General features: G+C 38.6%; 1 protein-coding gene across 9 annotated transcripts in view; it reads left to right on the top strand.

Annotated features, from left to right (window-relative positions):
* TBC1D12 (TBC1 domain family member 12) overlaps positions 1 to 21838 on the top strand; it is a 133792-nt gene that overhangs the window by 78938 nt on the left and 33016 nt on the right. For 8 of the 9 annotated variants that reach the window (NM_015188.2, XM_006717732.5, XM_011539558.4 and 5 more), the window contains 3 exons: positions 11887 to 11969; positions 15577 to 15694; positions 18743 to 18849. In NM_015188.2, the coding sequence (NP_056003.1) occupies positions 11887 to 11969; positions 15577 to 15694; positions 18743 to 18849 (308 nt within the window). The remainder of the gene's footprint in view (positions 1 to 11886; positions 11970 to 15576; positions 15695 to 18742; positions 18850 to 21838) is intronic. The other variant, XR_945637.3, reaches the window with a different exon arrangement.

Here is a 21838-nt window from a genome sequence, read left to right on the forward strand (position 1 = left end):
TTTTCCTTAAACTTCATTAACTAATCTCTGCTAGATTCCAGCTTTTCTTCTGTAACTTCTTCACTTCTCACCCTTCATAGAATTGAAGAGAGTTAGGGCCTTGCTATGGAGTGGACTTTGGCTTATGCAAATGTTATGGCTGGTTTGGTCTTTTATCTAGACCACTCACACTTTCTCAGCAATAAGGCTGTTTTGCTTTCTTATCATTTATGTGTTCATTGATTAGCACTTTTAATTTCCTTCAAGAACTTTACCATTACATTCTCCACTTGCCTAACTGGCTGAAGAGGCCAAGTTTTGGCCTATCTTGGCTTTTTTTTTTAAATTTCATTTTTATTCTGTGTGGGTACGTAGTAGATAAATATATTTATGGGATAAATGAGATACTTTGATACAGGCATGCAAGTGCATAATAATCACATCATCGTAAATGAGGTGTCCATCCCCTTGAGCATTTATTCTTTGTGTAATAAACAATCCAATTATAATCTTTTAGTTATTTTTATTTTCTCGTTTTTCTTTTTGTTTTCCAAATTTTATGTTAGGTTCCAGGGTACATCTGAAGGTTTATTACATAGGTAAACTCATGTCATGGGGGTTTGTTGTACAGATTATTTTATCACCCAGGAATTAAGCCCAGTATCCAATCGTTACCTTTTCTGCTCCTCTCCCTCCTCCCACCCTCCACCCTTAAAGTAGACCCCAGTGTCCGTTGTTCCTTCTTTGTGTTCAGAAGTTCTCATCATTTAGCTCTCACTTGTGAGTGAGAACATGTGGTATTTGGTTTTCTGTTCCTGCATTAGTTTGTGGAAGATAATAGCCTCTGGCTCCATCAATGGTTCCCGCTTTTGTTCCCGCAAAGGACATGATCTTGTTCTTTTTTATGGCTACAGGGTTATTTTTAAATGTACAATTACATTATTATTGACTATAGTCACCCTGTTGTACTATCAAATACTAGGTCTTATTCATTCTGGGTTTTTTTTTTTGAGACGGAGTTTTGCTCTTATTGCCCAGGCTGGGGTATAATGACGCGATCATGGCTTACTGCGATCTCTGCCTCCCAGGTTCAAGCAATTCTCCTGCCTCAGCCTCCCGAGTAGCTGGGATTATAGGCATGCACCACCATGTCTGGCTGATTTTGTATTTTTAGTAGAGATGGGATTTTTCCATGTTGGTCAGGCTGGTTGTGAACTCCCGACCTCAGGTGATCCGCCCGCCTCAGCCTCCCAAAGTGCTAGGATTACAGGCATGAGCCACGGTGCCTGGCCCATTCTTTCTATTTTTTAAAATCTATTAACCATCCCCACTTTCTCCCTGCCCCACTACTGTCCTTCCCAGCCTTAGGTAACCATGTTTCTACTCTCTATCTCTGTGATTTCAATTGTTTTACTTTTTAGCTCTACAAATAAGTGAGAACATGTGATATTTTTCTGTGCCTGGCTATTTACTTAACATCATGATTTCCATTTCCATCCATATTGTTGCAAATGACAGGCTCTCATTCCTTTTTGTGGATGAATAATACTCCATTGTCTATATGAACCACATATTCTTCTTCTTTTTTTTTTTTTTTTTTGAGTCAGAGTCTCACTGTGTCTTCCAGGCTGGAGTACAGTGGCACGATCTTGGCTCACTGCAGCCTCCACCTCCCTTGAACCACATTTTCTTTACCCACTCATCTGTTGATGGACACAGGTTGCTTCCAAATCTTGGCTACTGTGAATAGTGCAGCAATAAACATGGGAGTGCAGATATTTCTTTGATGTTCTGATTGCCTTTCTTTTGGGTATATACCTAGCAGTGGGATTGCTGGATCATATGGTAGCTCTATTTTTAGTTTTTTTAGGAACCTCCAAACTGTTCACCATAGTGGTTGTACTAATTTCCATTACCACCAACAGTGTACAACAGTTCCCTTTTCCCCATGTCCTCTTCAGCATTTGATATTGCCTGTCTGTTTGATAAAAGTCATTTTAACTAGGTTGAGATGATATTTCATTGTAATTTTGATTTGCATTTCTCTGATCAGTGATGTTGAGCACCTTTGAATATGGCTGTTTGCCATTTGTATGTCTTCTTTTGAGAAATGTCTATTCAAATATTTTACCTATTTTTAAATTGGATTATTAGCTTTATCCCTGTGGATATATAAGCTTGAGCTCCTTATATATTCTAGTTATTATATTAATCCCTTGTCAGACAGGTAGTTTGCACATATTTTCTCCCATTCTGTTTATTGGTTTTGTTTTTGTTTTTTTTTGTTTGTTTGTTTGTCTTGCTGTGCAAAACATTTTTAACTTGATGTGATCTCATTTGTTCATTTATGCTATGGTTGCCTGTGCTTGTGAGGTATTAATCAAGAAATCTTTGCCCAGTCCAGTGTCCTGGAGAGTTTCCCCAGTGTTTTCTTCTGGTAGTTTCATAGTTTGAGATCTTACAGTTAAGTCTTTAATGTATTTTGATTTGATTTTTGTACGTGGTGAGAGATAGGGGTCTAGTTTTATTCTTCTGCACATGATAATCCAAATTTCCCAGTATCATTTATTGAAGAGACTGTTTTTTCTCAAATGTGTATTCTTGGCACCTTTGTCAAAAATGACAGATTATCAGTAGATATATGGATTTGTTTCTGGGTTCTCTGTTCTGTTCCATTGGTTTATGTGTCTATTTTTATCCCAGTACCATGCTGTTTTGGTTACTGTAGCTCTGTAGTATAATTTGAAGTCAGATAATGTGATTTATCCAGTTTTGTTTTTTGTTTCTTTTGTTTTTTTTTTTTTTTGAGGTGGAGTTTCGCTCTTGTTGCTCAGGCTGGAATGCAGTGGCATGATCTCCGGCTCACCGCAACCTCCACCTCCTGGGTTCAAGCGATTCTCCTGCCTCAGCCTCCCAGCAGCTGGGATTACAGGCCACCACACCCAGCTAATTTTGTATTTTTAGTAGAGACGGGGTTTCTCCATGTTGGTCAGGGTGGTCTTGAACTCCCAGCCTCAGGTGATCCACCCACCTCAGCCTCCCAAAGTGCTGGGATTACAGGCGTGAGCCACCACGCCTGGCCAGTTTTGTTCTTTTTGCTCAAAATAGCTTTGGCTATTCTTGGACTTTTTTGGTTGCATATAAATTTTAGGATTGTTTTTTCTATTTCTGTGAAGAATATCATTGGTATTTTGATAGGGTTTGCATTGAATGTGTAGATTGCTTAGGGTATTATGGACATTTTAACAATGTTGATTCTTCCAATCCATGAACATGGAATATTTTTCCATTTTTTGGTGTCCTCTTCAATTTCTTTTATCAGTGTTTTTACAGTTGTTATTGTTTTAAGTAAAAGAAGACCTTTTACTTCTTTGGTTAATTCCTAGGTATTTAATTTTATTTGTGGCTATTATAAATGGGATTACTTTTTTATTTTTTAGATTGTTCAGTGTTGGCATGTAGAAATGTTACTGATTTTTGTCTGTTGATTTTTTATCCTGCAACTTTACTGAATTTGTTTATCATTTTTAATAGTTTTTTGGCAGAGTCTTTGGACTTTTGCAAATATAAGATTATCTCATCTGCAAGGATAATTTGATTTCTTCCTTTACAATTTGGATACCCTTTATTTCCTTCTCTTGTCTGATTGCTCTAGCTAGGACTTGCAGTACTATGTTGAATAACAGTGGTGAAAATCTGCAGCCTTGTTTTGTTCAGATTTTAGAAGAAACGCTTCAGTTTTTTCCCATTAAATATGATACTGCAAGTCTGTTGTATATGGCTTTTATTATTTTGAGGTATGTTCCTTCTGTCCCCAGTGTTTTAGGGCTTTTATTATGAAGGGATGTTGAGTTTTATCAAATGTTTTCTCAGTGTCAGTTGAAATTATATGGTTTTTGTCTTTCTGTTGAGGTGATGTATCACACTGATTGATTTGCATACATTGAAATATACTTACATTCCAGGGATAAGGCTCACTTGGTCATGATGAATTATCTTTTCAATGTATTGTTGAATTCAGTTTGCTAGTATTTTGTTGAGGATTTTTGCATCCATGTTTCTCAGGGATATTGGCCTGTAGTTTTCCTTTTTTTTTTTTTTTTTTAGTGTGTCTTTGTCTTGTTTGAGTATCAAGGTAATACTGGCCTCATACAATGAGTTCATAAGAATTCCCTCCTCTATTTTTTGCAGTAATTTGAGTAGGATTGTTGTCAGTTCAATTCTTCTTTAAATGTTTGGTAGAATTCAGCAGTGAAGTCATCAGGTCTTGGGCTTTTCTTTACTGGTAGACTTTTAATTACAACTCTGTAATTAAATGTTTTGTTCCATTGTGACTTGCTATTGGTCTGTTCAGGTTTTGTATTTCTTCATGGTTCAATCTTGGTAGGTTGTATGTGTCTAGGAATTTATCCATTTTCTCTAGATTTTCCAATTTATCGGCACACAGTTGCTCATAGCAACCACAAACGATCCTTTGAATTTGTGTGGTATCAGTTATAATGTCTCCTTTTTCATCTCTGATTTTACTTATTTGAGTCTTCTTTTTTTCTTAGTCTGGCTAAAGGTTTCTCAATTTTGTTTTTCTTTTCAAAAAAACCAACTTTTTGTTTTGTTGATCTTTTGTATTGTTTTCTTTCAATTTCATTTATTTGTGCTCTTTTTCTTTTTTCTTCTTCTTCTTCTTTTTTTTTTTTTTTTTTGTTATTGTTGAACATGGTCTCACTTTGTCACCCAGGCTGGAGTACATTGGCATGAATATGACTTACTGCAGCCTTGACCTCCTAGGCTTAGGCCATCTTCCCACCTCAGCCTCCTGAGTAGCTGGGACTAAAGGCACATGCCACCATGCCCAGCTAATTTTTGGGTTTCTTTTCTTTCACTAATTTTGGATTTGGTTTGCTCTAGCTTTTTTAGTTCCTTAAGATGCATTTTTAGGTTGCTTATTTGAAGTTTTTCTTCTTTTTTGATGTAGGCACCTATAGCTATAAATTTCCCTTTTAGTGTTGCTTTTGCTGTATCTCGTAGGTTTTGGTATGTTTTATTTCCATTAACATTTGTTTCAAAATATTTTTAAATTTCCTTCCTAATTCCTTCATTGACCCACTGGTCATTCAGGAGGATATTGTTTAATTTGCATGTGTTTGTATAGTTTACAAAATTCCTCTTGTTATTGATTTCTAGTTTTATTCCATTGTGATTGGAGAAGATGCTTGATATTATCTCATTTTTTTGAATGTTTTAAGACTTGGTTTGTTTTTAACTAAGGAAGCAACATGTGGTCTATCCTTGAAAATGATCCATGTGCTGAGGAGAAGAATGCATATTCAGCCATTGGATGAAGTATTTTGTTAATATTCTATTAGGTCTGTTTGTTCTATAGAGCAAATTAAGTCCAATGTTTCTTTGTTGATTTTCTATCTGGAAGATATGCTGAGTGCTGAGAGTGGTGTGTTGAAGTCTCTATTATCGTATTGAGGTGCATCTTTCTCTTTAGCTCTAATAATATTTGCTTTATATACATGGGTGCTCCAGTGTTGGGTGCATATAGATTTACAATTGTTATATCCTCTTGCTGAATTGACCCCTTTATCATTATATAATGACCTTCTTTGTCTCTTTTTACAGTTTTTGTCTTGAAGTCTATTATGTCTGACATAAATATAGCGACTCTTTCTCCTTTTTGGTGTCCATTGGCATGGAATATCTTTTTCTCTACCTTTCTTTTCAGTCTATATATGTCTTTATAGGTGAAGGGTGTTTCTTGGAGGCATCATATCATTGGGTCTTTTTTTTTTTTTTTTAAATCTATTCAGTTACTGTATCTTTTTTGATTGGAGAGTTTAGTCCATTTACATTCAGTGTTATTGGTAAGTAAGAACTTACTCTTGCCATTTTGTTATTTGTTTTCTGTTTGTTATGTGGTCTTCTCTTCTTTCGTTCCTTCCAGTCTTTCTTTTAGTGAAAGTGATTTTTTTTTTGGTGGTATGATTTAATTTCTTGCTTTTTATTTTGTGTTGTCATATTTTTTTTATTTGAGGTTACCATGTGGCTTGCAAATACTACCTTATAACCCATTATTTTAAACTGATGACAACATTGATTGCATAAGCAAACAAACTAGCAAAAAGAAAACTAATAAAAACTTTACACTTCAACCTCATCCTCCTGCTTTTTTGTTGTTTCACTTTTTTAAAAAAACTTTTTGTTGTTTCTTTTTTTTAACTTCTGTTGTTTCTCTTTTTTTTTTTTTTTTTTTTGAGACAAGGTCTTGCTCTGTCACCCCAGCTGGAGTGCAGTGGTACAGTCATCGCTGACTGTGGCCTCTATCTCCTGCGATCAGTTGATCCACCCACCTCAGACTCCCGAGTAGCTGGGACTACAGGTGCATGCCACCATACCCAGCTGGTTTTTTTTTTGTTTTTTTAGTAAGGATGAAGTCTTGCTGTGTTGCCCAGGCTGATCTTGAACTCTTGGGCATGAGCAATTCTGCCATGGCCTCCCAAAGTGCTGGGATTATAGATGGGAGCCACCATAATGGCTGACTTGTTGTTAGTCTTTATGTCTTATTTTACTGCCTATGTCTTGAAAAGCTGTTTCAGGTATTATTTTTTATTGGTTCATCTTTTAATCTTTCTACTTAAGAGTAGGCTGGGCACAGTGGCTTACGACTGTAATCCCAGCACTTTGGAAGGCTGAGGCAGGTGAATCACTTGAGGTCAGGAGTTCCAGGCTAGCCTGGCCAACATGGTGAAACCCTGTCCCTACTAAAACAATACAAAAATTAGCCGGGTATGGTGGCACGTGCCTGTAATCTCAGCTACTTGGGAGACTGAGGCAGGAGAATCGCTTCAACATGGGAGGCGGAGGCTGCAGTGAGCTGAGATTGCACCACTGGGTATTGCTGTTTGTTATTCAGGGCCCAAGGGGTCTTTTTTTTTTTTTTTTTTTTTTGAGATGCAGTCTTGCACTGTAGCCCAGGCTGGAGTGCAGTGGTGCGATCTTGGCTCACTGCAACCTCCGCCTCCTGGGTTCAAGCAATTCTCCTGCCTCAGCCTCCCGAGTAGCTGGGCTTACAGGCACATGCCACCACACCCGGCTAATTTTTTGTATTTTTGGTAGAGATGGGGTTTTACCATGTTGGCCAGGCTGGTCTTGAACTCCTGACCTCAAGTGATTTGCCCGCTTCCACCTTCCAAAGTGCTGGGATTACAGGTGTGAGCTACCGGTCCGGCCTCCAAGGGGTCTTTAGTCAGCATGTGATGAATCCTGCCAGGGCTGGATTCTTTCTTTCAAGGCAGCAGGTTCACTTCTATTCTAGGGTGTCTCTAGAAATGTCATCCAGGAGCTAGGACCTGAGATGGGGGCCTCACCACTGCCTGGTGCCCTATCCTACTGTGGCTGAGCTGGTATCTAAGATGCAATACAAAGTCCTCTTTACCCTTCTTTCTCCTCTCCTCAAGTGGAAGAAGAAAGGAGTTACTTTAGTTGCTGCAAGCTTCACTACCTGGGATTGAGAGGGGAGTGGCGTAAGCACTCCCCCAAATGTCCTGTCTGGTGTCTCACTGTGTCATCTACTGCCCCAGTCCACCGGCTCTAAGCCCAGCATAGCATCAGGACCTGCCTAAGAATTGCAGTCCTTGTGTCCTAGACTGTCTTTCAAGTTCACTTAGGATCCCAGAGCACTTTAACCTGTGATTGCGAGGCTTGCCGAAACTCAAGTTTCAGCTGCTGGGATGGGCGCTTCCCCTCTGGCTAGTGCTGTTCAAAATGCTCCCTCCATGGGCAGGTGCTGGCTGAGTTCAGCATGATTTTGCTTTCCATGTGCTAGGGCAGCATTAAGTTCAATGCAAAGTTCCTCAGTCACTGTGTTGTTCCTCCCCTGAGTGCATGGGTTCTGTCTCCTAGCCAAGAAGCCACTGCCAGGGGTTGGGGGAGGGGTGGTGTTGGCAATTTAAGACTGTCTTTCCTACCCTCTGCAATGCCTCTTTCAGCGATATGAAGTTAAAACTAGGTACTGTGATTGCTCACCTGATTTGTGGTTCTCATGAAGGTGCTTATTTGTGTGCAGATAGTTAAAATTTGGTGTTCCTGCAGGGTGGACAACTGGTGCAGGCTTCTATTCTGCCATCTTTCTTCACCCCCCTATCTTGGCTTTTGGCATGCCTTCCTCATTAAGCTTACTCATTTATTTCTGGCTTTTGATTTTAAATTGAGAGATATGGGACTCTTCTTTTCACTTAGATGTCATTGTAGAGTTATTAATTGGCCTAATTTCAATGTTGTATCCCAAGAAATAGGGATGCCTGAAGAGATAGAGAGAGATGGGAATGGTCAGTCTGTGGAGCAGTAAGACACACATGTTTGCCTTGGCACACAAATTTGCCATCTTATATTAGCACTGTGTGTGGTGTCCCAAAACAATGAGAATAGTAACAACAAAAATCACCTATCACAGATCACCATAACAGATACAATGATAATGAAATAGTTTGAAATATTGCAAGAATTGGCTGGGTGCGGTGGCTCACCCCTGTAATCCCAGAACTTTGGGAGGCCGGGGCAGGCAGATCACCTGAGGTCAGGAGTTTGAGACCAGCCTGACTAACATGGTGAAACTCCATCTCTACTAAAATTACCAAAAAATGTAGCCAGGCATGATGGCAGGCATCTGTAACCCCAGTTACTTAAGAGGCTGACGCAGGAGAATTGCTTGAAACCAACTGGGAGGTGGAGGTTACAATGAGCCAAGATTGCGCCTTTGCACTCCAGCCTAGGTGACAAGAGTGAAACTCTGTTTCAAAAGAAAAAAAAAAAGAAATATTGCAAGAATTACTGTAATGTGATACAGAGACACACAATGAGCACATTGTTAGAAAAATGGCACCCATAGACTTGCTTGACATTAGGGTTGCTACAAACCTTCAATATGTAAAAAATGCAATATTTGCAAAATGTAATAAAGCAAATCACAGTATAGTAAGGTATGCCTATAGTATATTTATAACAGCTATTTTATCATCCTTGTGTTATAATCCTATTATCTGTGACATTTTTATATTGTGACTGTTGATTAATTTTTCTTCTCATTATGCATTATATTTTTCTGCTTCACATCTCTGTTTTTATTGAATGTCAGACATTGTGGTTTACATAGGTGGATGCTGGACTTTTTTGTGTGTTCTTTTAGATACTTTTTGGCTTTAGTCTGGTTTGCAGTTTTTTGGAAATGGTTTGATCTTTTTGACCTAATCTTTGTTGGAGTGGTTCCAGAATAGCTTTTAGTTTAGGAGTAATTTGTCCTCACTACTGAGGCATTATTCTTCTAAGCACTCTACCTAGTACTCTTATCTATCAGGAGGCCTTTCCACTCTGGCTGGTCTTGTGTGAACTTTAAGAATGTCCTATTTTTTTTTTCTCTGGTGGTTCTTTCTCTGGCTGTAGTTAATCACACACATGCACAGATCAGTACTCAGCCAAAACCTTGAGAGGACTCTCTGCAGCTCCCTTCTTTTCTGGTTTTCTGGTTTGTAACTTTTAGCTGTCTTGGACTCTCCAACTCTAAACTTTCTCCTCACCTTAGGATTGATGGACCACTGAGACCTGGAAATGTCAGGTACTTGTAGGGTTACCTTGCTTATTTCTTTTCTCTTAAAGATCACTTTCTTGTGCTGCCCAGTGTCTGTTGTCTGGAAACTATAGTTTAATATATTTTGTCCATTTTCTAATGATTTAAGGGGAAAGGGTAAACCTGGTTTCTTTTATTCCATTATGGCCTGAAGCAGAGGTCTTAACTTTTATTCCTCCCTCCTACAACCTACCAGATCAACTGACTAATTTGAGAAGAGGAGGTAGAATTTATAATTTGAAAATTTGTCACATACCTTTTTCCACACTAGCCTGTTGAAAAGAAAAGACTGACTCCTAAAACTGGACACTATTATGATTATATTTGGATAAGTGATAATATACCAGTGTATTTCTTTTTGCATTTTTTATATCTAAATCACTGACTCTGTGAAGCCATTGATTTGATAAACCAAAATACGGTGTAGTAGTTACCCCTTATTGGCGGTTTTGCTTAAGGCAATTTCAGTTACCTGTACTCAGCTGTGGTTTGAAAACATTAAGTGGAAAATTCCAGAAATAACTTTTAATTTTTAAATTGCGTGCCATTCTGAGTAGCATGATGAAATCTCACTGTCCTGCTCCATCCTGCTAGGGACATGAGTTCAGTTTATCTGCACTATATACACTACCCATCTGGTAGTTCAGTTAGTAACCTTCTTGGTTGTCAGATCGACTGTTGGTGATACCACAGCGCCTGTGTTCAAAGAACCCTTATTTTATTAGTAATGCCCCCAAAGCTTAAGAGTAGTGGTGCTGACAATTCAGATATGCCAAAGAGAAGCTGTAAAGTTCCTCCTTTAAGCAAAAAGGTGAAAGTTCTCAAATTAATAAGAAAAAAAAATCATATGCTGAAGTTGCTAAGATCTGTGGTAAGAATCAGTTTCCTATCCATGAAATTGTGAAGAATGAAAAAGAAATTTATGCTAGTGTTACTGTTGCACCTTAAATTGCAAAAGTTACTACCATAGAGCACGGTGTTCAGTTATGATTGAAAAGACATTAAATTTATGGGTGGAAGATATGAACAAAAATGTGTTCCAATTGATGGCAACATATTGTGCTGGGTTAACTTAATCTCAATTAAATTAAACTTTATCATAGTTATGTATGTATAGGAAAAAACCTGGTATATATAGGGTTTGTTACTGTCTGAGGTTTCAGGCATCCACTGGAGGTCTTGGAACATAACTCCTAAGGATAAGGGGGGACTACTATGTATGCAAATGATGGATGATCCAGTTTTTTAGTTAAAATGTTGTCTTAAAACTCTAATTAGTGGAAAGCAGTTTGACAGTTTATTGTAAAGGTATATCCACACTTACTATATAACCCAAGACTTTTGTTTAACTAAGGGAAATGAAAGCAAATGTCTACACAAAAACTTGATGTTAATTTTTACAGTAGTTTTATTAATAATGGCCTCAATCTGGAAACAATCCAAGTGTCCACCCACATGGATAAATGGAATACTACTCAGCAATTAAAAGGAATACATTACTAATACAACAACATGAATGATTTTCAAAACTGTGCTGAGCAAAAGAAGCCAGACATTAGTCCTTCAATGTAAATTAAAACAAAAAAAGCCAGACACAAGAGTCTATAAAATTCTTGAAGAGGAAACAAATTAATCTGTAGTGATAGAAATCAAAGAAAGAATTTTGTGAGGGGTACCACAAGGAAACTTAGTGGAATGATGGGAATGTTCTATATCTTGATTGGTTAGTTAGCTGCACAGGTATATACATTTGTCAAGACTCATCAAACTATTCTTAAAATATGTTTATTCATTTTATTATATGAAAATTATATCTGAAAAAAGTTGACTAAAGAAAACTCTAGTAAGTGAGTTTAACAAATAACCTAAAAATATTGACTGAAATCTGAAATGGACTGGGCTCAGTGGCTCACACCTGTAATCCCAGCACTTTGGGAGGCTGAGTCAGGAGGATTGCTTCAACCCAGGAGTTTGAGACTAGCCTGAGCAACATAGTGAGACCCCATCTCTATTTTTTTAATCTGAAATGTTTAAATATATACCAACTTATATACACATGACATAGAACTACACACACACACACACACACACACCACATATTAACAACCTGGATTCTGATTCTGTTCTAAAATGCACAGTTCTTTTCAGCCTTTCACTTCCTTAATGTATGAAATGAGGTTAGTTTAGAAATTCTTTGCATCTGGGTGTAAAAACAAATAAGTTAGTAAGTTGAAAGTTAATCTTTTAAAAATTGTCTTGACTTAAGTAATTTTTTTTTCCAGAAATCTTCCTGCCAAATCTGTGGAAGAAGCTTTACGTCACCGACAAGAATACGATGAGATGGTGGCTGAGGCTAAAAAACGAGGTATAAAATTTAACTCCAAATGGTATAATTTTCTGATTTTAATAAGAAGATGGATGGTAAAATTCATCAAGTCTGTCTTCAAGATGATACTGAATTCTTTTTTTTATTTCTTTTTTCGTTTCTTTTTTGAGTCTTGCTCTGTTGCCCAGCCTGGTATGCAGTGATGCAGTCACAGCTCACTGTAGCCTGACCTTCCAGGCTCAAGCAGTCCTTTTACCTCTCAGCCTCCCAAGTAGCTGGGACCACAGGCACGTGCCACCATGCTTGGCTAGTTTTTTGTATTGTTTGTAGAGATGAGGTTTTACCATGTTGCCCATGCTTTTATTTTTCTCTACTATTTTTATAATTAAGTTTGTTCTAAAGGAGGAATAAAATGACATACCAGGATCATAGTTTTTCTGCATGTACTTTTACAGAATAGGAGGAATCTTGAAATTACAGTCATAAAACTTGGACTTCTACTATCTTAGTTTATAAATAAAGATAATAATTCATGAATCTATTAATGAATTTCACTTTTTACCATTTTTATATTTTATAATTAATTTCTAATTATTTTATAATTTAATAATTTTAACTTTCTATATGGCTGTGAGAATATGATTTGAAACTCAAAATTTTTTTGTGACTTACAGAGTCTCTCTAGAGGCCCAATTGTGTCATTTGGTTAGGTGCATAAAAGTATACTCTTGTGTGTATAAATTTACGTATTCATTCATTCTCTTTTCCAACCAAAAAAATAATATCAGGATAATTTAATGGTGTTTATTTCCTGACAGTTGTTATTTCAGGATAAACATACATTTTTAGAAGATATTACACAGCTGTATACATTTTTAGACTTAACATCTAACACCTTATTAACAACTGATATTTTTTCCTTTGACTTAAGTTAATGGACTGTTATAATAGTATACAGTTCTGCTTTATGGTGCTATTTTGGAATTGAAGTTACTTCTTTAATGTTAAGTAAACATAGGATATATAAGGCTAGTTATATTGTTCTAGAAGGTATTTAAACATTAGTTGAGTGTATTTTACTATACAGAATTCGAAATATTTCTGACATATCCAATTAAGTATTTATCTATTTATTACTTATTTTTATTTTTTTGAGACAGGGTCTTGCTCTGTCACCCAGGCTAGAGTGCAGTGATGCGAACTTGGCTCACTGCAGCCTCAATCTCCCAGGCTCAGGAGATCCTCTCACCTCAGCCTCCCAAGTAGCTGGGACCATAGGCGTGCACCACCACGCCCAGTTAATTTTTGTATTTTTTTGTGGAGACAGGTTTCGCCATATAGGCCAGGCTAGTCTTAAACTCCTGACCTCAAGTGATCCACCCACCTCGGCCTCCCAAAGTGCTGGGATTTCAGGTGTGAGCCACCACATCCAGCCTAAGTTTTTATTTTTTATTATGTATTTATTTATTTTAGAGACGGGGTCGCACTTGTTACCTAGGCCAGAGTGCAGTGGTACAATTATAGCTCACTGCAGCCTCGAATTCCTGGGCTCAAGCAATCCTCCTGCCTCAGCTTCCCTGGTAGCTGGGATTGCAGGTGCATGCCACCACACCCAGCTCTTTTTTTTTTTTTTGAGACAAAATCTCACTCTGTCACCCAGGCTGGAGTGCAGTGGCGCAATCTCGGCTCACTGTGACCTCCGCTGCCTGGGTTCAAGTGATTCTCCTACCTCAGCCTCCAGAGTGGCGGGGATTATAGGTGCCCGCCACCAGGCCCAGCTAATTTTTGTATTTTTAATGGAGACGGGGTTTTGCCATGTTGGCCAGGCTGGTCTCGAACTCTTGACCTCAAGTGATCCACCTGCCTTGGCCACCCAAAGTGCTGGAATTACAGGCGTGAGCCACCATGCCCAGCCCCAGCTCATTTTTTAGAAGTTATTTTGTAGAGATGATGTATCTCTATGTTGCCCAGGCTGGTCTCAAACTCCTGGCCTCAAGCAATTCTCCCACCTGGGCCTCCCAAGAGCGTTGAGATTATAGGCATGAACCACTGTGCCTGGCTCCAGTTAAGTTTTTATTAATTTTAAAATTTTTACTATATGATTACTATGTAAGATAACTATTGGTACTGGATGATCTTAAAAGCATGGTATGATAGGGATAATATTGAACTGAGGAATCAGAAGGCCACAGCTTTAACCTTGTTTGATACTACCTTGGTGTGATACTCTGAACAGGCCTGATGTTAGTTTTCTCATGCGTAACATGTGAGAGGCAGGTCAGCTTAATCAGGGCTTTGAAGCTTCTCTTTCATCATTTTTTTTTTGTTGTTGGTAAAGCAGTGGAACATTCTCCCAAGAAATCTTATATAGAATATGAATACATAAAACAAATAAAAGAAAGTAGAGATTGTCGGCCAGATGCGGTAGCTCACGCCTATAACCCCAGCACTTTGGGAGGCTAAGGCAGGCAGATCGTGAGGTCAGGTGTTTGAGACCAGCCTGGCCAGCATGGTGAATCTCTGTCTCTACTAAAAATACAAAAAATTAGCTGGGCATGGTGGTGTGACCCTGTAATGCCAGCTACTGGAGAGGCTGAGGCAGGAGAATTGCTTGATCCCGGGAGGTAGAGGTTGCAGTGAGCAGAGATCGCACCACTGCACTGCAGCCTGGGCAACAGAGCGAGACTCTGTTTCAAAAAAAGAAGAAAGAAAGTAGAGATTGTTTACTTGGCCTTCTGCTTGCCCCTCAAGATGGTCTGAGGCATATCTGAAAAAACAATTTGAAAACAGTTTGGCTAGCTGGTCTCTGACATCCTCACTGGTTCTAAAATTACATAAAGTTTTGATTTATGACTCACTTTCGTCTGTATTTGAGACATCTCTTCTTCTGAAATTGTCACCTTTGATTTTCAGAGAGATATTTTCTTCCTCTAACTTTTGCCTCAGAATCTAAGAGATGTACTGTTAATATATGTGTTTTGGGGGACATTTTAAAATTTCAAACTAGTAAAGTGAAACACCATATTAAAAAGAGTTAATATACTAATAATGCTACTGACAAAATCATTTTGGAATGTCATGTGAGTTATGTCAGAAAATTTATAAACCCTTGTAGGAAAAATGGGTATTGGTTAGTTGCCCACAGTTGTTTGTTTTTTATATAGTTAATTCATAAGAAATTTGACTTCATAGATTTAGTGTAAATAGAAATATGTGATAAAGTAATCTACTTAAATTATTTTTCTGACCTTTTATTCCACTTACTTTTATAGTAGAACAGGAGATGTTATTTTAAAATTATGTTAATAACTGGGCATGGTGGCACACATGTGTAGTCCAAGCTGTTCAGGAAGTTGAGATATGAGGATTTATTTAAGTCCAGGAGTTCAAGGCCACCTGAGCAACGTGGCGAGACCCATCTCTAAAAAAAGAGAAAACAAAGAATAGAAAATTATGTTAATCAAGTTCATTTACTTTCACTTTTTCCCTCCCTTTCTTTCCCTGTCCCTCCCTCCCTTATTTCCTTCCTTCCTCTTATGATAATATTCTTTTTGAGAAAGTCTATTTTGTAGAGTTTAGGTAAATGGAGAAAAGGATTTTGATCTAGCTTATTTGTATTGAAATAATTTTTACTCGTTTAAAACAGAAATTAAGGAAGCACATAAAAGAAAAAGAATCATGAAAGAACGATTTAAGCAGGAAGAAAATATTGCAAGTGCAATGGTAATTTGGATCAATGAAATACTGCCCAATTGGGAAGTAATGTAAGTAAGCAGACTTTTCCTAAATTCCCATTTGTCTCCGAAGATCTCATGTTTCTTTTTTTTTTTTTAATTTATTATTATTATACTTTAAGTTTTAGGGTACATGTGCACAATGTGCAGGTTAGTTACATATGTATACATGTGCCATGCTGGTGCGCTGAGATCTCATGTTTCTGATTCTGTATTTTTATTATTTCCAGCATATATTTTATGCTTTGGCTAAATTATACTATTAATTAATGCCTGAAAATTTCCATATTTGCATCTGTGCCTTTGCTTTTGTAAATCCCTCAGTGTCTACCACCTACTTCCCTTACTGACCATCCTCTGTGTCTGCTAAATCTTTTTTTTTTTTTTTTTTTTTTGAGACGGAGTCTCGCTCTGTCACCCAGGCTGGAGTGCAGTGGCGTGGTCTCCGCTCACTGCAAGCTCCGCCTCCCGGGTTCACACCATTCTCTGGCCTCAGCCTCCCGAGTAGCTGGGACTACAGGCGCCTGCCACCGCGCCTGGCTAATTTTTTTTTTTTTTGTATTTTTAGTGGAGATGGGGTTTCACCGTGGTGTCTGCTAAATCTTACCTATCCTTTGGGACCCAACTGAAATGCTAATTGATTTATGAAACTTTTAATGTCTTTGGTTACTGTGTTTTCTTTTTTTTTTTTTTTTTCTGAGACGGAGTCTCGCTCTGTTGCCCAGGCTAGAGTGCAGTGGCACAATCTCGGCTCACTGCAAGCTCCGCCTCCCGGGTTCATGCCATTCTCCCACCTCAGCCTCCCGAGTAGCTGGGACTACAGGCACTCGCCACCATGCCCTGCTAATTTTTTGTATTTTTAGTAGAGACGGGGTTTCACCATTCACAGGATGGTCTCGATCTCCTGACCTTGTGATCTGCCTGCCTCGGCCTCCCCAAGTGCTGAGATTACAGGCGTGAGCCACCGTGCCCGGCCTAGTTACTGTATTTTCTTAATGCTAACATACCATCAATTGTAAGACGCACTATTGATGTAATAGCAGTTATTTGGAAAGAGAATATTAAATATATAAATGTATTAGAAGATGCACTTATTGTTAAAATGATTTTTAAAGTGTTTATCTCATAATCAAGGAAATATGTATGATCTTTCCCTTATGTAAATGTCCCATCATCATACTTTGAGACTAATATACTTATCTTGCCTTTGCATTTATTTATTCATTTTTAAGTTATTTTGCCAGCATCTTTTTAATGATAAATAATAATTGTATATATTTATATGGTACAGGGTGATTTGTTTTTTTGTTTTTGTTTTTGTTTTGTTTTGAGACAGAGTCTCCCTCTGTCACCCAGGCTGGAGTGCAGTGGCGCGATCTCAGCTCACTGCAACCTCTACCTCCTGGATTCAGACGATTCTTATGCCTTAGTCTCCCTAGTAGCAGGGACTACAGGCATCTGCCACCATACCCGGCTAATTGTTTTGTATATTTAGTAGAAACAGGGCTTCACCATATTGGCCAGGCTAGTCTCAAACTCCTGGCCTCAAGTGATCAGCCTGCCTTGACTTCCCAAAGTGCTGGAATTATAGGTGTGAGCCACTGCACCCTACCGTGATGTGTTTTTTGAGGGTTTTTTTTTTTCAAGACGAGGTCTCACTCTGTTGCCCAGGCTGGGGTGTAGTGGCGAGATCAAGGCTCACCGCAACCCCGACCTCCCTGGGCTCAGGTGATCCTCCTGCCTCAGCCTCCTGAGTAGCTGGGACTACAGGTATGTGCTAACACGTCCAGCTAAGTTTTGTATTTTTTTATAGATATGGGGTCTCACTGTGTTGCCCAGGCTGGTCTCGAACTTTTGGGTTCAAGCAATCTGCCTGCCTTGGCCTCTCAAAGTGCTAGGATTACAGGTGTGAGCCACCTGCCTGGTGCAATGTGTTGTTTTGGTATATGTTTACATTATGGAATGATTAAATCAAGCTAATTAACACATCCATCAGCTCACGTATTTCTCAGTATTTTGTGGTAAAACATTTAAAATCTGCTCATTTAGCAATTTTGAAACATACAGTTCATTATTATTTATTATAGTCACCATTCTATGTAATAGGTCACTAACACTTATTTCTTCTAACGGAAGTTTGTACCCTTTGATCAACATCTCACCTTTCTCCATTCACTTTACTCCCCGCTCCCCGGCCATAACCACCATTCTACCCCCTACTTTTATGAGATTGACTTTTTTGGATTCCACATATAAGTGAGGTTATGTGTTGATTTTTCTGTGCCTGGTTTATTTCACGTGGCACAATATCCTACAGGTTCATCTGTGTTGTTGCAAATGACAGAATTTCTTTCTTATTGCCTTTTTACATAACATTTTAAAATATGCCTTATCTTCCCTCTCGACTGGAGGGTTGGGGATATCTTCTGCAATGCCTACTGTAGTTTGTACATTGGGAATTTGTTGAATATTGGCACAGTGTGACATATTATCTGAGGCACTTTACATAAGTAATTGCATTTGAGTCTTAGAACTTTTATAAGGTGTATGTATTTTTACTCCCATTTATCTTATAAGGAAACTCAAGGTCAGAGAGGTTAAGTGATTTGCCCAAGGTTATACATTTAATTAATGGTTAAACTAGATTGGATCTCAGATCTATCTGACTTTAAAGCCGACAGTTTTTTTTAGCAGACTTTACTGCTTCTCAAAAACTAGGGCCTTCCCACTGTAGATTCTTGGTTGTTTTGTTTTTGGTGCTGAATTGGTGATACATTTTTATGTCCCTTTTATCCTGTTTTTTAAATAATTGACTGCATATTTCTGATTCTCTCATTGACATTTATAAAACGCAGTTCCCTTTAGATTACTGTTGCCCCTTTGGGATCCTATACATCTTGTAGGCTGTTGTTGCCTGCAAGCATGAACGCAAAGAAAAGAATGCATTACATACTTAATTCTCTATAGTCCTAAAAATGATTTGATCACTTGGCCATAGACTAAAGATAATCCATCATGCAACTAGTATTTTTGGTATAAAAAGTAACTTTCTCCTTTTTTCTCCTCCTTTAATTCTAGGCGTAGTACAAGAAGAGTTCGAGAATTGTGGTGGCAGGGATTGCCCCCTAGTGTCCGTGGGAAAGTTTGGAGTCTAGCTGTAGGAAATGAACTAAATATCACTCCTGGTTTGTATTCTACGTTCAGTTATTCCCACATGTACAAATAGCCATCTACAGAGTTACATAGCAGATTAGTAGAGTGACCATTAAAATAAATGGCCTTTATCATATATAATGTCATTTTAAAAGCATGCTTCATCCCCCTGTTATGAAGCAGGTTATTAAACCTGTTATGATTTAATAAGTTATTACATTTTATATAAAGATTTATGGTTTTCCCTTTAGTTCACAACTATCAATAATCTTCTTGGCATTCAAATATCAAAAACTTCTGGGATTCTACTTGGCAGTGGATAATATGTATATACAAGAAAAAAGAAAATAGTCAATTATGAAAAGGCTTCACTTTTATACAGAAAACATAAATACTGGAGGAAGGCTAAAAGTTTCTTTTCCTCCTTCTTTACCTAAACCAGTCATTTTGGGATTTTTTTTTTAATTTGAAAAGTTTAGGCCGGGCGCAGTGGCTCATGCCTGTAATCCCAGCACTTTGGGAGGCCAAGGCAAGTGGATCACCTGAAGTCAGGAGTTCAAGACCAGCCCAGCCAACATAGCGAAACCCTGTCTCTAGTAAAAATACAAAAATTAGCTGGGCATGGTGACACATGCCTGTAATCCCAGCTACTTGGGAGGCTGAGGTGGAAGAATCACTTGAACCCAGGAGGCAGAGGCTGCAGTGAGCCGAGATCGCGCCTGTGCACTCCAGCCTGGGCAAAAGAGCGAGACTCTATCTCAAATGAATGAATGAATAAATGAATGAATGAATGAATGAATGAATAAATAAATAAATAAATAAAATAATTTTAAAGTTTATAACTTGATTAGCTGCATAAAGAAAAAACTTTAGCCGGGCATGGTGGCTCATGCGTGTAATCCCAGCACTTTGGGAGGCCAAGGCAGGTGGATTGCCTGAGCTCAGGATTTCGAGACCAGCCTGGGCAACACGGTGAAACCCCTTCTCTACTAAAATACGAAAAATTAGTCAGACGTGGCAGCGTGTGCTGGGAGGCTGAGGCAGGAGAATTGCTTGAACCCGGGAGGCAGAGGTTGCGGTGAGCTGAGATCAAGCCACTGCACTCCAGCCTGGGCTACAGAGCGAGACTCTGTCTCAAAAAAAGAAAAAAAAAACCTTTAAAGAACAGAAGAAGAAATAAGACTTTCAAAGAGTTATATTATTTTCTTAAGTTTCTTAAACTTTGGTGGATAGGAGCAAAATGTAGAGTAGTTTTTTTGTTTTTGTTTTTGAGATGGAGTCTCGCTCTGTTGCTGTGCTGGAGTGCAGTGGCGCAGTCTCGGCTCACTGTAACCTCCGCCTCCCGGGTTCAAGCGATCCTCCTGCCTCAGCCTCCTGAGTAGCTGGGACTACAGGTGTGTACCACCACGCCTGGCTAATTTTTTGTATTTTTAGTAGAGATGGGGTTTTGCCATGCTGGCCAGGCTGGTCTCAAACTCCTGGCCTCAAGTGATCCACTTGCCTCAGCCTCCCAAAGTGCTGGGATTACAGGTGTAAGCCACCGTGCCTGGCTTGCAGAGTAGTTTTGATGAGTTTTTAAAAAATTAAGCTGGACATGGTGGCTCATGCCTGTAGTCCTAGCTACTTGGGAGGTTTAGATGGGAGGATTGCTTGAGCCCAGGAGTTTAAGGTTACAGTGAGCTATGATTGTGCCGCAGCACTCCAAACAGGGCTACAGAGCACGACTCTGTCTCTAAATTAATAAATAAATAATTTGGCCAGGCGCGGTGGCTCACGCCTGTAATCCCAGCACTTTGGGAGGCCAACGCGGGTGGATCAACTGAGGTCGGGAATTTGAGACCAGTCTGACCAACATGGAGAAACCCCGTCTCTACTAAAAATACAAAATTAGCTGGGCGTGGTGGCGCATGTCTGTAATCCCAGCTACTCGGGAGGCTGAGGCAGGAGAATCGCTTGAACCCAGGAGGCGAAGGTTGCAGTGAGCCGAGATTGCGTCATTGCACTCCAGCCTGGGCAACAAGAGCGAAACTCCATCTCAAAAATAAAATAGAATAAATAAATAAATAAATTTTTAAAATTAGATAAAATTAGAATAATATCAAATAGAGGAAAGTAAAATAGTTTATAGGCCAGGCATGGTGGCTCATGTCTGTAATCCCAGCACTTCAGGAGGCTGAGGCGGATAGGTCTCTTGAGCCCAGGAGTTTGGGACCAGCCTGGGCAACATAGCGAGACCCCGTCTCTACAAAAAAAATCTCAAAATTAGCCAGGCAGCCCGCATGTGGTCACACCACTCGAGAGGGTGAGGTGGGAGGATCGCTTGAGCTCAGGAGGTGCAATGAGCTGTGATTGTGCCACTGCACTCCAGCCTGGGCGACAGAGTGAGACCCTGTCTCTAAATAAATAAATAGTTAATAATAAAATGTGCTAAATTGGTCTAAATGATAATGTTAATGCTAGACAATGGCACCACATAAAGACTTAAGGACTTTAATACTAGAAATAATATATTGTCACTGTTACTTCTAAAATTTTTCTTTTTATATTTATTGGAAAAAGTTAAAGTAATGAGAAGGTACAAGTGTCTGCTCTTCCACCTGAACTGCTATTCTTGATCCTACTGTAAACACTGTTAGCAATTTGGTGTATATTCTTTCTGGTCTTTTTTCTATGTACATAAAGTGTGCATCTACATATGATCAATTTTAAAGCTTTTCTTTTTTATTTTTTCACCCACAATTTATGCCATAAGGTTATTCTGTGGCTTTCTTTCTTCACACTATAATCTATCTTGAACATCTTCCATGTTAGTACATACAAGTCTGTCTCATATGTACTACAGCTACATTGTATTCCACAATTTGGCTGTACTATAATTTATTTAACTGTTTTCCTTGAGATAGCCAAATCAAAGACATATATTTTTTCCTGCCATTCTATAAAAAAGACATATATGTTAACATCCAAGTACTGTTTTTCATCCCTCAAAAGAGATTAAAATGAATGAGAATTACCCATACG

The sequence above is a fragment of the Homo sapiens genome, chromosome 10, assembly GCF_000001405.40.
Source record: "Homo sapiens chromosome 10, GRCh38.p14 Primary Assembly".
NCBI classification, from domain to species: domain Eukaryota; kingdom Metazoa; phylum Chordata; class Mammalia; order Primates; family Hominidae; genus Homo; species Homo sapiens.